A 16,163-nucleotide genomic window follows, 5' to 3' on the forward strand; every position below is an offset into this window, starting at 1 on the left:
AGATGCTCCCCTCCAAGGAAGACAGCCCAGTAGGCTCAGAGATAGCCAAGAGAGGAGAAAGGAGGCCTATGGGTTCTAATCCCAGTGGAGCTTAGAAGGATAGCATCTACATCACCCCACTCTGCCAAGTCCCAGCCACCAAGCCAAGAGGAAAATTTTGCTGATGTGGTGTACCTCCCCACATCCGGCCACGGACCAGGGGAACAGATCGAGCTCGCAGACCTAAAGTGCTAGATGAAAGCCCATTAATAAACCTTCTGGCAAGGCCCAACCTTATGTTCAAGGGTGCGCCATTCATAAATCTCTGCAGCGTGGTGCTCAAGCCTCTGCATCACAGCCTGCGGGAAGGGGAGGACCTGAGCAGCCTGCAGAGGAGGCCTAGAGAGGAGCCCCAGGACAGTGTTGAACCCTCCGAGGGTCCTTAGAGCCTGTCCACACCTAAGTGCTTCTCTCCAGACTCAGCAGCAGCAGGAACTGTGGAGGACACCTGGGCTATTCTTATCCAGGGCCCCCAGGTATTTTACACCTGGGAAGTTTCACAGCTCGGGGTTGAGAAATATCCCTGCCTGGAGCTCTGGAACCTCTGGCAGGTGCCAGGCTGGTCTTTTCATCTAGAAAATGGACCAGGTGACAGCCAAGATCCTTGCAACTCCACTATTTTAGGATGCCCATGAAATCCTAATTGTGAGACTCAGTTTCTCTTTTGGAAGGCTAAGGAACAAACATATATGGAATAACCACTGTGATTCAGGTACCCTACACACTCCACCTCAGTGAATCCCTCAATAACCAGCAAGATAAGTCTTGTCATGACTCCCATTTTGCAGAGGTGAAAACTGAGGTTCACAAAAGTAGAATTAACTTCCCCGTGGAGCTATTAAATAACAGACTTAACGGCTCACATCCTTTTGGAACGTGGCAGGATGGAAGTAAACAAAAGTAACACAGAGGTATGATTCAAACTCAGGCTGCCGGGCCAGTAAAGCCCTTTGTTGTCTCCTAACTTCTTCTACACTCATAGTTCTCAACAGGAGCAATGTTGTCCCCCAGGTGACATTTGACATTTTACGTTGTCCCAGCTCGGGAGGAAGAGATGCTACTGGCATCTAGTGCATAGGGGCCAGGAATGCTGGTAAGCATCCTACAGTGCACAGGACAGCCCCACCACAAAGAATTAATTGACCCAAAATGTCGATAGGGCCAAAGTGGACAAACCCTGCCCTAGAGCCCCTGTAGACCGAGCAGACTCGGCCCTGGGCTTCCTGCTGCGCAGCACCTCTCAGGAAGGGCCAGACAGCTGGGGCAGCAATCTCCAAGGTACCCTGTAGAATACTGGGTGGAAACAGCTGTTGTGGGGGATAGGGAATGGGGGTGGGGACTTGTTCAAACAACTTTGGGAAACAACAGATTCTGCGAAACCAAGATGTCTTTAGTGGAGGACTTCTCAGTGTGTTTATTTGTGTGACAGTCAGTTCTAGATGTCAACTTTATTTGTTTGTTTGTTTATTTTAGAGACAGGGTCTCGCCCTGTCACCCAGACTGGAGGCCTCAAACTCCTGGCCTCAAGCAATCCTCCTGCCTCTGCCTCCCAAAGTGCTCAGATTACAGCTGTGACCACCTCACCCAGCTAGATGTCAACTATAAACACAAATCTAGGTGTTGTCATGAAGGTATTTTGTACATGTGATTAAAATTCATAATCAGTTGACTTTACATAAGGGAGATTATCCTAGATAATCTGTCCCCCAGAGGGACTAAGAAGCCTTATCTTATTAGACACAGCTAATAAGCCCCAGTCCCCTGGGAAGGGTGACTTTACATAAGCGAGATTATCCTGGATCATCTGGGTTGGTTTGATTTAATCAGTCTGAAGGCCTTAGGAGCAGAGCTGAGGTTTCCCTGAAGAAGAAATTCTGCCTTCAGACAGCAGCTTCACCCCATGGTCTAGAATTCCAGCCTGACCTTGGGACTTCAGACTTGCCTGGCCAGCCCCCACAATTACATAAACCAATTCCTTGCAATAAATCTCTTAATATGTATTTCCTACTGTTTCTGTGGCTCTAGCTGATCTCTGCCTGATACAGTCTGAATCGTGACCTCCAAGAGTGGAGTATAGATAAGTTTATGACAATTCCCGAACTGATTTGGCCAGTGGGACTTTGAATTTGAGGAGCATCTCACAGGATTCACGTTCAGCAGATGCTTGCTTTCTCTCTCTCTCCAGCAAATACCGATGTAGGCAGACTGAGCAAGTCAATCGTAAAGGAACTTTAGCCCAGCTTTGGAGCCTCATGTCAGGAGTGCAACCATGTGCTCCCACTGTGGGCAGAGGGCCCTCAGTACTACCGTGTTGTCTGACAGTTACACAGTCTTGGATACTCACAAAACACACTCCTCGTATCAGTGCTGGGGTCATGCAGGACTCACTATGGTTGACACCTCTTGTGCCCAGACCTCTGCTCTTGGCCGCTGTCCTAGTCTGTAAAGCAGAGCTAATAAGCCCCAGCCCCTGGAGAAGGGTGTAACGACAAAACAAGATTTATGCAAAGTACCTGGCACACAATGGGTGTTCACCCAGTGCCAACGCCCTCCTCTCTCCTCCCCTTTGACGACAAGCTGTGCTAAAACAGGCCTCCTACTATATAAGGAATAAGCAATGTTTTAAAACCACTCAAAATGTTCAACTGTTGCCAAAAGATGCTACGGAGCTCTCCCTAAGCCCGTGGCCCACCCTAAATGTAACAGGCCCATGTTTACAAACCCAAATCCATGCATCTCAGAGGCTCCCACACATATCCTAGCTGTCCCTCCTCAGAACTCCGTTTGGACAGTCTCTGGCAGCATCACCGGCAGCTGCTGCCTCTCTGGGTGTTCCTGCCACTCAGCCTGGGCCCCCGGCAGCTACTCATGTGTGGGAGAGCAAGACGGAATCAGAAGACCCTTCTGCCACCTGAAGACCGCCAGGGCTCCTGGCTGGAGAGTTCAGGCCAGGGCTCTGGAACCAAGATGTAAGAAACTCCAGCAGCTAAGAGCTGGGGAGCTGAGCATAAGCCATAGCTCTGGCCCCGTCTTTATCTTTCTGTCCTTCACTCTTGTTCTGTGTGCACTCAGACTCACACAGCCGGCCTCTCATCTTCCTACAACTCAGATATCCTGAAACAATCCAATCACACTGAACACAGCCCAGAACCAGGAAGGAACACAGGCTCCTTGACTGGACAGAACATAGGCAGGGCTGATGCTCTAAAGCTCACGCAGCTTGCACAAAGGAGAGCAACACAGCCCTCGCTTGGACCCTATTTATCCTTCCTTACAGCACTGGTTCTCAAACTTTAGGGACATCTGAATCACCAGGACAGCTTGTTAAATACATGGTCCCACCCCCAGAGTTTCTGATTCAGCAGGTCCGGGACGGGGCCCAAGAACTGGCATTTCTGACAAGTTCCCAGGTGGAGCTGCTGCTGCTGGGGTAGGGGCTGCACTTTACAGAGCGCTGCTTTACAGCTTGGATAAGCCAAGCCAACTGAGTCAGTACCTGATTAGAATGGAATCGCTGAGCCTGTGAGTGTTGGGGGCGGGGCAGATGCTGATAGTGGTGAGGCCTGCCAATGCCAGGCTTACTGACAGCTGCAGGAAGTGACAGTTGACAGCCCGAGAGCACAGAAAGAGACAGCAAACTATAAAAAGCAGACATAAGAACTCAAAAAGCAAAGCAGTCTGAAGCCATCTCAGTGCAATAAAATTATTACATACCCCCAAATAAATCCTGAGGAAGCCCTCTCTCTAAGCATCCTACTGGCATGTCAGTCATAGCGAAAGACCCTGAAATATGACGAAAGCGATACTTACGCTGCTTAGGAGGGCAGGGAAATATATAATTAATTTTCTAAAAATCAACATCTAATTTGTTGGCAATAAAATCTTCTGGGTGTTTAATGGATGATAAACTTGGCAATATGGAAGTTTTTTCTCTGTGGACTAATTTATTTACTCAGTTACCTAGAATTTTACTTCGTGTGTACATCTGTCGCGTGCACCTGTGTGTACATGTGCACCCACATGTACACACAAGTATATATTTTGTATAAATGCATTCACTACCACTAATTATTGCTACCCATTCTCAGGTCTCATCTTAAGCACTCTTTAATCCTTAATCATTCTGGCCAAGTTAGGTCCCCAACTGAAGCTCTTTTAGATGGACTATTGCATCTTTAATTGCTCCAACTCTGTCTTCCTCGCCACACTGTGAGGAAATAGGGTCATGACTGCCTGTTTTCCAGCCATTTCCCTAATAGAGTAGAACATAGTAGGTGCTCAGTACATAGATGTGACTGCAGGATTATTCACATACTTGCTGATTTCATGCACTCACCCCCCCCACCCCGCCCCCAACACACACACACGATCTCCATTACAAAGACAAAGAAAATGTAGGTCGAGGAGCATAAGTGCATGCTTGGAGGCAGCCCCACTCTGCAAGCTAGTGTAAGTTGTGCTTATTCCTGTTAGCAAAGGATCTCAGCAGTCCTCTGGAGACAACACGGTCTCTCTCAGCTCCTGGTTTTCATCAGGATTTGCATATTCTGGGCAAGGCGGGGACATGAAGGAGGGTGCACACTCAATTAGATCCTTCCTCTCCAAGTCTCCACCCCTTGACTGTTCCTAATGAAGCCATCTTGTATCCCTCCGTCCCTCACACCCACCACCAATACACACACCCTCTTCATTTTCTCACCAGACTCATCACCCTGAGAAGGTCGGGGCGCTGCACTCTGCCCAGAACACCAGCAGATCGAAAATGAAGCACAAAACCGACTTAAGAAGAGAAAACCGTATTTTCCATAATTGATTCATCTGCCTGTAAATAAAGAGCATTAATGAGAATCAGCCTGAGCTAATCATTAGCAGGAACCCCCTGTGGGCTAGTGGGGGAAGGTGGGGAGAATCGGCTCCTGCCTCACATAGCTGATTGCATTAGTCAAGCAGGATTCAAGGACATTGGAAGACTCCCTGCCACACTCCCCTACCTGATGACCCCATCTTCCTCCCTCTCTGCTCCACTGCAGCCGGTAAGTATATGAATCCACTCCTTGAGAACTCAGCAGAACTTCCTAAGCCCGTGAAGAGCCCCACTAATATAGATGTGCAAGTGTGGAATAATTGAATAGCTGTTGTCACCCATGAAGGTAGCTTTCCTCATTTCTCTTTGGTCCAGATTAAAATGGACTATGATTCTCCCCAAAACTTCCATCCAGAGGTTTTTTTCAAAGGAGAATACAACTTTCTGAGGCAGTCATTTTTCTCATTTATCACTAATATTCCAAAGGCACATTTCCCAGACAGACTTCTTCTCCCTTATCTAAATCAGGATACACTAGATTATGCTGTGGTAACAAACTTCCCAAAATCTCTTGGACTTTCAGTGAAAAAGGATTATTCCCACTCAAGCTGAATATCTGTCATGGGTCAATTATGGTTCTGCCCCAAGAACAGAGCTGAAGGAGCAGCCTCCACAAGAGATGGCTGCCATCACAGCAGAAGAAAAGTGAATATGGCCAAAGCACACGCTGCTTTTACAGCTTTACTGGCTAAAGCAAGTCACATGGTCATGCTTCAGTTCAAAAGGATGGGGACATATAATCCTCCCCTAGGAAAGAGAACTACAGAGAAAAACACCAAATTTGAGTGAATATAATTGACCATAATCCTGGACTTCTCAGACTTTCACTGTCCTTATAAAACATTTATAAAGTCATTACCAACACCCTTCGTCTCGTTGTCACCTCAGTACCGTCATTCTCCATCACCACCACCACTTTCACCAACCTCATCACAACTCCATCGGCATCCTCATCAACGACACGATGTCATCCTTACCACCTGTCTTTACCCGGGTTTCCTGGAGGAGAGAGCCTGCCCAGGGGAGAGGCTCACAGGCTAACGCTTTATTGGAAAACGTTTATCAAGGGAAAAAGAGACTGAGGCAGGGAAAGAGGAAGAGAAAATAAAAGTGAGATGTTTAACAAAAAGGGGCTGTTTCAGAGCAAGTGCAACTGATTGTTCAGTCCTTCAGATCATCTTCTGATCTCAACAGTTCATCTGTTCCCTCTCTTAATAGTTCATTCATGAAGAGAAATGGAAAAATTATTATTTGCTGCCTCTTTACTGGTCCCAGCTCCCACTGATCAAAGTCGACTCTATAAAGTATGTACTCCACTGCTCTTCTATGACATGTCATTTGGTCTCTTCAAGCAACCTCAAGAGAAGCCCAAATTTCTGGGAGTCCAGGGCTCTGGCATAGCTTCCAATCTGGCCTGGTTATACAATACTACCTGCTAGGATCCTCCATCTGTAGCAGTGCTAACAGCAGTGACAACAGTCTGGCTTTAGTGCTGTGGGAACAATAGTGTGAGCTCTTGCTAAGGCTGCTCAACTGGAAAGCAAGGCAAGTGACCAAGACTGAGATAGAAGAATATGTGGCCACATGGACTTGGGGTGGCACACAAATTGAATCCAGTACAGTCCACCCCTTGGGCCTTTCACATCTACCCATAGCCATCTGTAATATATGGATCTCATATCAGAGAAAGACACCTTCCATTCCTCTCCAAGAGGGGAGATGCAAATCCAAGTATTCAAGGTGTTGTCATATGCATTCTCCTAAAAAGACTTAAAGAAGGTGGCTTTGTTCATTTTCTGTTGTTAGGACACTATAGACCAGATAATTTATAAAGAAAAGAAGTTATTTAACTCACAGTTCTGGAGGCTGGAAAGTCCAAGATCAAGGCATCAGCATCTGGTGAGGACCTTCTAGGTATGTCATAACATGGTGGAGGACATCACATGGTGAGAGGGCAAGAGCATGTCCACTCTTTCTCAGGTCTCTCTTTCTCTTCTTATAAAGCTGCCAGTCCTATCATGGGGGCCCCACCCTTATGGCCTTATCTAATCCTAATTACCTCCTAGAGGTCCCACCTCCAAATACCATCAACATATGAATTTGGAGATTGTTTCTGACATGAAATTTGGGAGACATATTCAAACCATAGCAGAGGGCTAGCAAGCCAAACTTGTTACATCTGTACCACTGCAACTGGTTCTGGGGTTGTTTTAGCTGCCATTCATCCATGCCCTCATCCGGCATCCATTTTGACTGGTCTGTGTTGCTTCTCTAGTGGGAAGACCTAGATTTTCATTCCCAAGGGGTCTAAATCCTTGGTTTCCTTGACCTTGTAGAATCATCATTGTTAGAACAGCCCACCAGTAAAGCAGCAGCAAAATGTGCCCCCAGTGAATCTTCTCAGTTCCTAACATACACTTTCCTGTTCCCGTTATGTACCAGCAAACCAAGTTTCTCATAGTAATGAGTCAGTTATCCCCTACCCAGTAGTTCCTTTCTTTTCCTCTTGGCTTCACTGGCGTTAAGAGCCCAACATTGCCAAATGGTAGCTGCAATTTCTAGCTAATTGGGAACCTTACTGTGCTCCCTGAAAATCACAATTCCCTTCAATCAGTGAGCTCTGGAACTATGAACTGATATAAATCTGGAAATTAAGTGAAGGGCCATGATTTTCCACTCTTGTGGATGACATCAACTGCCCAAGTTGGCAGCTCTGACTTTTTCTGCATCTATTGAGTTGTTCCTATGGTTTTTCTCCTTTTTTCTGTTCATGTGATGAATTAATTGACTGACTTTCAAGACAATCTTGCTTCCTCGAAATAAGCCTCTTTTGGTCTTGATATATTATTCTTTGTATATATTGCTGGGCTGAATTTGCTAATATTTTCCTCAGGATTTGATATTTTTAATATTTGATTCTATATTCATGACAGATATTGGTAATTTATTTCTTTTTAATGTCTTTGTTCATGTTGATATAAACAAGCTGGGAAGTGTTCCTTCCTCTTCTGTTGTCTGAAAGTGTTTTTGTTAGACTGCTATATTTCTTTCTTAAATACCTGTTAGAGTTCACCAGTGAAGCCATCTGGACCTGGAGTTTTCTTTGTGGGAAGGTTTGTACATTTACACAGACAGTTACCATTTCTAGTGCTTTTCATTTCTTCCTAAAGATTTGAATTTCCATCTGATGTCAATTCCCTTCACCCTAAAAGGGTGCCCTGAGCATTTCAAGGTTTACTGACAGTGAATTCCATTTTCTTTTATTTGAGAATGTTTTTATTTCACCTTCATTCTTGAAGAATGTTTTCACTGGAGAAAGAATTCTGAATTGACCTTTTTTCTCAATCAGGTTATTACAGATGTTTTCCCACTATCTTCTGGCCTCTATGGTTACTGATGAGAAGTCAGTAGGAATCTGAATCATTGTCACTATGCATGTAGTGGATCATTTCTCTGTGCCTGCTATCAAGATTTTCTCCTTATCTTTGGTTTTTAGAATTTTGACTGTAATTTTCCTAAATGTGATTTCTTTGTATTTATCCTTGGGATTCACTGATCTTGAATCTGTGCATTTACTCCTCTGCCATTATATTTTCAAACTTTTTTTTTCTGCTCTCTTTTCTCTCCTTGTGGGATGCCAATTCCACCAATGTTAGACCTTTTGATGTTGTCCCACAGGTCCCTGATCTCTATTCTCCTTTTCATTCAATCATTTTTGTATCTCTACTTCAGATTACAGAATTTCTATTCATTTGTATTCAGGTTCACTAACTCTTTCTTTTGTCATCTGCATTTTCTTTGACTATTTTCTAATTCATTGATTTCTGCTGTTATCTTTAATATTTCCTTTTCTTTTTTATTTAATACATATATTTTTTGAGACAGGGTCTCTCTCTGTCACTCGAGCTGGAGTACAGTGGCATGCATGATCACAGCTCACTGCAGCCTCAACTTCCTGGGCTCAAGTGCTCCTCCAGCCTCAGCCTCCTGAGTAGCTGGGATTACAGGCATGTGCCATCGCACCTAGCTCTATTTCATTTTCACTTCTAAGTTTAGGTCTAGTTTATGCCTTTTCTAGTTTCTTAAGGTGGAAGCCAGAGCATTGATTTTAAATCTTTTTTTATTAGTATGATCATTTCAAGTGATGATGCTTTATCTTCATCCCAGAAATTTTATATGCTATGTTTTCAATATCATTTAGTTTAAAGTACTTTCTAATTTCCTTTATGATTTCTTTCATGACCTATGGGTTACTTAGAAGTATATTGTTTAATTTCCAAATATTTGGGAATTTTCCAAATATCCTACCATTATTTATTTCTAATTTAATTTCATCATGCTCAGAGAACATACTCTGTATTATTTCATTCTCTTAAAATTAATCTAGATTAGTTTTATGGCCAAGTATATGTTTTAGCATAGTGAACATTCCATATCCATTGGACAAGAATGTGAATGTATAATTCTACAGATGGTGGGTCTTTTCTATAATTGTCAGCTAGGTCAATTTAGTTCATAGCATTGTTCAGGTTTTCTTTATACTTACTGATATTTTATTTACTGGTTCTAAGAATTACTGTTGAAATAATATTAAAATCTCCAACTATAACTGTAGATTTTTCATTTTCTCCCTTTAGTTCCTGTCTTAGTCTGTTTTCTGTTGCTATAACTGAATACCTGGGACTGGTATTTGTAAAGAAAAGGAATTTATTTCTTACAGTTCTGAAGGCTGAGATGTCCAAGGTCAAGGTGGGGCACATCTGGTGAGGGCCTTCTTGCTGGTGGGGACTCTCTGCAGAGTCTAGGCTGGCACAGGGCATCACATGGCAATGGGGCTAAGCCATGCTAGCTCAGGTCTCTCCTTCTGCTCCTATAAAGCCACTAATGGCCCACCATCTTGACCTTATCTAATCCTAATTGCCTCCCAAAGTTCTCACTTCTCAAATACCATAGTCAGATTTCCCACCTTCTTAGTATTGTTACAGTGGGGATAAAGTTTCAACCTGAGTTTTGGAGGAGACAAGCATTCAGACCATAGCAGTTCCATCAATTTTTGCTTCATGTATTTTTGCAGATTGTTATTAGATGCATAAGCATTTAGAATTGCTATATCTTCTTGTTAAATTGGTCCTTTTATTGTTACAAAATGACTCTCTTTTTCTCTGTAGTACCCTTTAATTTGTCTAATGTTAATTTATTCATATCAGTCTTGTTATACTAAATGTTTACAATTTATATATTTTTCCATCCTTTTACCTTCAATCTGTCTATGTCTTCAGATTTAAGGGGGTTTCCTGTAGATGGCATATAGTTGGGTCTTGTTTTTTTTTTTTTTGTTCCTCTGGTGATCTCTATCTTTTAATTGGAGTATTAATCCATGTACATTTAACAAATTTATTGATATGGTAGATTTAATTTTATCTTCTTGTTAGTTTTTGCTATTTGTGGCCTCTGCTTTTGCTTCTCTTTTCTTCCTTTCCGTACTCTCTTTTGAGTTAGTCAGATTTTTATAATATTCCATTCTATCTCCTCCATTGGCATTTAAGCCATTTATCTTGTTGCATTACTTTTCAGTGGTTTCCTTAGGACTACAATGCACTTCCTTAACATATCACAGTCTACCTTGAATTATGCTCTTTCATATATTAAAAACTTTTTAAGAGCAAAATTCCATTTACCCCTCCCAAACTTGGTACTATTGTTGTCATATATTTTTCTACACACTTATTCTTTCCTGTCTATATATTTCCTTTCCTCTACAATTTATGTTGTTATTATTTTCACTTTAAAGAATTGTTTTTAGGGTGAGTGCAGTGCCTCACACCTGTAATCCCAATACTTTGGGACGCCAAGGGGGCCAGATCACTTGAGGTCAGGAGTTTGAGACCAGCTTGGCCAACATGGTGAAACCCTGTCTCTACTAAAAGTACAAAAATTAGCCAGGCATGGTGGCATGCACCTGTAATCCCAGCTACTCGGGAAGCTGAGGCAGGAGAATCGCTTGAACTCAGGAGATGGAGGTTGCAGTGAGCCAAGATCGCGCCACTGCACTCCAGCCTGGGCGACAAGAGCGAGACTACTCCATCTCAAAATAATAATAATAATAATTGTCTTTTAAACACTTCTTAAAATAATTTTATATTTTCCAACATTTTAACCACTTCCAGCACTCTTCATTCCCTCTTATAAATCCAAATTTCCACCTGGTATCATTTCCCCTTAACTTCAAGAACTTCCTTTAGCGTTTCATACAGTGCAGGTCTCTTAGCCTTCGTCTATCTGCTATCTTTATTTTTGCCTCCATTTTTTTTCATTTATTTTGTCTTCATTTTTGAAAAATTTTCCCACAGGATATGGAATTCTCAATTGACAGATTTTTTTTTTCTTTCTGATTTTAAATATGTCATCTCATTCTCTTCTGGAATGTTTTCACAAGAAGTCTGCTGTTATTCCTACCCTTATGCCCTGGATGCTGCCTTTGCAGACTTTTTATCTGACTGCCTTTAATATGTTTTCTCTAATCTATTGATTTTATTAGATTGACCATGTATGACTTTCTTAGTATTTATCTTCCTTGAGGTTTGCTCTACTTTTTCGATCTGTAAATTGTTGTTTTTGATAAAATTTGGAAAATTGTGGTCAGTATTTGTTCAACTATTTTCCCTACCCCATGCTCCTTGTATTTCCATCATCCTTGTATTTCTGGGACACCAGTTACATATATTCTATATTCCTTAGTATTCCTTTCAAAGGTTATTGGAACCCTATTCTTTTTTTCCCCATTTTTTTTCCTCTCTCTCTGTTTAAATAATTTACATCAACCGGTCTTCAAGTTCACTCATCTTCTTTTCTATTCTGTCCAATCTGCAGTTAACTTGATGCAATAAAACTTCTATTTTGTATATTCCATTTTTTAGTATTGGGATTTCCATTTGGTTCTGATTCATAGTTTTTATGTCTCTCCTGAAATTTGCCTTCTCCTCATCCATCATGTCCATCTTTTCCTGCAGACTTTTCAATGTATTCATCACAATTATTTTAAAGTCCTCACCTTCTAAAACTGCCACCTGGACCAGCTGTGAGTATGCTTCCATTGACTGGTTTATCTCTTGTCTATAGGTCCCATTTTCCTGTGTCGTCTCATGTCATACTATATCTTGTACAGTGTGGATGACAGGTTGTAGAGACTCTGGATGCTGTTGTCTTCCTTAGAAGAGTATTGATTTTTATTCTAGCAAGAAGCTAAATTATAGGCAGATAACCACAATCTTGTGGAGTCTTGATTTTAAGTTTTGTTGGGGTAGGTCTTTTTGTTTTTCCCCTCATCCTAAGGAGTAGTCCTTAGTCCTTGCATATGATCCTTACTCCTAGGGTTTGGCCCTTCTGGCATTTTAACAGAAAGCTTTGCCGAGCCTCCCTAACTTGCCAAAACTTGAACTCTAAATTTTGTGTCCACAACCCTGGGGAGTTGCTATAACATCTGATTAGTAAGATCCCTGGGACTTTCTTCTGGGGTTCCTTGGAGTCTTGCCCCATGTCTTCACAGTGTAGGAGTCAGCTAAGGATTTGAGGGAAGGTCCATGTGGATTCTTGAGTGCCAGGTGAACCCCATTCTGTCTCAGATGACTCCCTCTTTTCCTGGACACCCACCCTCTCAATTTACAGCCATTCTAGTCACTCTGTCTACTCAGTCTATTAGGAATTCTGGATTCTCTTTTTTTTTTTTTTTTTGAGATGGAGTCTGACTCTGTCACCCAGACTGGAGTGCAGTGGCACGATCTTGGCTCACTGCAACCTCCGCCTCCTGGGTTCAAGTGATTCTCCTGCCTCAGCTGCCCAAGTAGCTAGGACTACAGGCATGTGCCACCACGCCCAGCTAATTTTCCTATTTTTTTTAGCAGAGATGGAATTTCACTATATGTTGGCCAGGCTGGTCTCGAACTCCTGACCTCAGGTGATCAGCCCGCCTTGGCCTCCTAAAGTGCTGGGATTACAGGCGTGAGCCACCGCACCTGACCAGGAATTCTGTATTCTGATTTAGCTCTACTCCCATACATTGCTTCGACGGGGAATGCCTTCAAGAAAACGTCAGACAAATGTGGGTTTTGCCTAGGGTATTTGCCTTATTTCATGGGTGGTAGCCCCTGGTTTTTCTCACTCTACTGTGCCTTCAAATAATTATTTTCAGTATTTTGCCAAGAATTTAATATTGTCGTCAGTGGGAAAGTTTATCTGGCATAAAGTCGTCTGCCATTACCTGAAGACAGAATTCTCTTGAAATATTTTTATTATATAAATCGAGCATCATCCTACTCAGTGGTCCATATATCTCACCACTCGAAACCCAGCTCTCCAGATTTCTGTCATTTATTTGCTGTACAAAGTGAAGTTAAATCCTTCCAGGTGAATCTATTTTGGTTCAAATTAGCCAGAGCAAGTCCTGTTGTTTACAGTCAAGGGCTATGACTAATATGTAGGGCTTATGTTGACCTAGATGCTGCTTAAGTCCTGACTACATGAATAGCTTCCAAGACCTCTCCACAACCACTGGCCATCCATGGCTCTCTGGGAAAATATCCCAGGTCACTGCCACCTTTAATATATATTTTTTAAATTAGCATCTTGGCTTTAAATATTTTACTTTCATGATGATTATATTTCTGAGCATGGCTAACTATATTCCTTCTTGATACCATTAGTCATTTTACCCCTGGTTTAGATACAGCTTCACTAGCCCCTTTACTCTGCACCCTTATTGGACAGAATTCCTCTCCTTTGCATCAGTTCTGAGGGTCTATAACATCATCACCAAACCATCTGCCTCACTCTCCACCCCCATACACACCATGCACATGCCCATGCCCACACACAGACACACACGTCTTCCATAGCCAATAAAGGCAGAAGTTCCAAACTTTCACACCCTTTCCTCCCAATGACAGGCAGAGAAGAATTCCAGACAATTGATAGAGGAGAAAAAGAGATGTATATTTGGAAAATGGTATATGACACCAGAGGCAGAAGTCAGGAAAGAGGGACTCTTATGAAAGCAAGGAAACTGATCTGGGGAATTTCAACAAGTCCTCATGAGTTCATGTGGTTGTGCATAGTCCGAGCATTTTCAAAATTCCAAACAAAATGCCACACTTATTAATGAGTATGTTATTGACCCTTTAGTTTACTCAGTGAGGACCAAATTCATAAAACATTCATGCTCCATTATGCAGGATTTCCTCTGCCTCTTTGAGGTGGATCTTTCTCTCCTGGGAGAGACTAAGAATGGAAAATTGGCACAGTTTCTTTCAAACTGAGTTTCTGGATCACTCTTTCTGCTAAAGTCAAGAAGGGATAAAAAGAAGAAGGGGGCCTGGCACAGTGGCTAATGCCTGTAATCCCAGCACTTTGGGAGGTCAAGGTGGGTGGACCACCTGAGGTCAGAAGTTCAAGACCAGCCTGACCAACACAGAGAAACCCTGTCTCTACTAAAAATACAAAATTAGCCAGGTGTGGTGGCGGGTGCCTATAATCCCAGCTACTCAGGAGGCTGTGGCAGAAGAATCACTTGAACCTGGGAGGCGGAGGTTGCAGTGAGCCGAGATCACGCCATTGCACTCCAACCTGGACAACAAGAGCGAAACTCTGTCTCAAAAAAAAAAAAAAGAAGAAGAATAGGTTTTGATAGTAGAAAGATGCAAAGTTAAGTCTCCACTGAGCTACCTACTAGTTTCATGGCCTTGGGAAAGTCCATCTTTAGTAATAATAACTAATACATACAGAACATCAAGAGCTGTATACTACTCGAATGCTTTACAAAGCTTTATTTTATTTCATCCTTATAACTACTTATTTATAATAATTATTTAGGTAAACACTATGGTTATTTTTCTTTCACAGATGAGAAAACAACATTGCGACATGTCCTCTGAGCCCTATTGAAATAGACAGCTCTTAGTCATGGTGTTTGATCCCTGGTTTGATGAATGGTGTGCTTCAGATGGAAGCAGCAACAGGGTTTCAGCTATAAGTCTCATTGTATGGTTGGACATATCTCCTACCTGTGTCAATTCCGGCTTTGTGGCTTTCGAACTTGGGTCCTGGAACTTCTAGAAATTCTGTAAGCTTGTTAGCATACTGTATTCATTTCTATTGCTGTGTAAAACATTGCCACAAACTTAGCAGCTTAAAACAACACACAGTTATGATCTCACACATTCCATGGATCAAGAGTTCAGCACACTTTAGCTACTTCCTCTGATCAGGGTCTCATTGAAATTAACATGTCACCTACCTGTATCCTCATCAGGGACTTGGCTAGGGAAAGACCCACTTCCAAGCTCTCTCAGGGTGTTGGCAGAATTAGTTTCCTTGTGGCCTTGTGACTAAGATCCCCATTTTCTTAACTATCAACCAGGGACCCCTACCAGTTCCTAGAGACCACCTTTAGGTGTTTGCCACATGGCCCTCTCTACAATATGACAGGTTGCTCCTTTACGGACCACAGAAGAGCATCTGCTATTTCTTCTTGTATCTTTTAAGGTATAGTGTGATTAGGTCAGACCCACCTGGAATAATCTCACTTTCGATTAATCAAAGTAAATTGATTAGGGATCTTAATTACTACAAAATTCCTATTTCCATATCATGTAACATAACCAAAGGATATTCGGTCATATTCAAAGTTCTGCCCACACTCCAAGAGAGGGATTAGACAACACATATATACTATGGGGGAAGAATCTTGGGAGCCATTTTAGAATTCTGACTTCCACATATACTATTTTAACTCCGTTTCTGCTTAAATTTGGCAAAATGGCTTCTGTTGTCTGCAATTGAACCCTGAGCAAAAACAGATGATACAAGGAGCAATAGACCTTTGAGGAAATGAGACTCCAGGACAGATAGGCTGTCTAACCTGAGAGGGCGAGGATCTAGTTCTCAATAAAGAACGTGATATTGCTACTCTAAAACACCTAGTGACAAATTTGTTTCTTATATAACCTGTGTCTACCAGAAATGAAGAACATAGAATGAAGACTTTGGTAGTCAGAGCGGCAGCTATGGTAGAACATTATCAAAGGCCTGAGGAATATAAGGACTGGGGAGTAAACTACTGATTTATAACTGCACTAGTAAGCTTAGAAGATAAAAATGAAAGGCTGGGGTTTTAAGTTTTCAGCTCAAAGTATGGTTAGAAAACCAAGGAGTTTCTACAACTACTGAGAAAGAATGAATCTCTTATCTCCAGCAGGGCTGATATAAC

General features: G+C 42.3%; 1 annotated feature.

Annotated features, from left to right (window-relative positions):
- Positions 1,196–4,284: an enhancer, noted in NCBI's record as "VISTA enhancer hs2510". NCBI's record gives its function as "enhancer in: eye[3/6]" and the evidence as "EXISTENCE:transgenic organism evidence [ECO:0001131][PMID:17130149]".

The sequence above is a fragment of the Homo sapiens genome, chromosome 15 (genome assembly GCF_000001405.40).
Source record: "Homo sapiens chromosome 15, GRCh38.p14 Primary Assembly".
Taxonomy (NCBI): domain Eukaryota; kingdom Metazoa; phylum Chordata; class Mammalia; order Primates; family Hominidae; genus Homo; species Homo sapiens.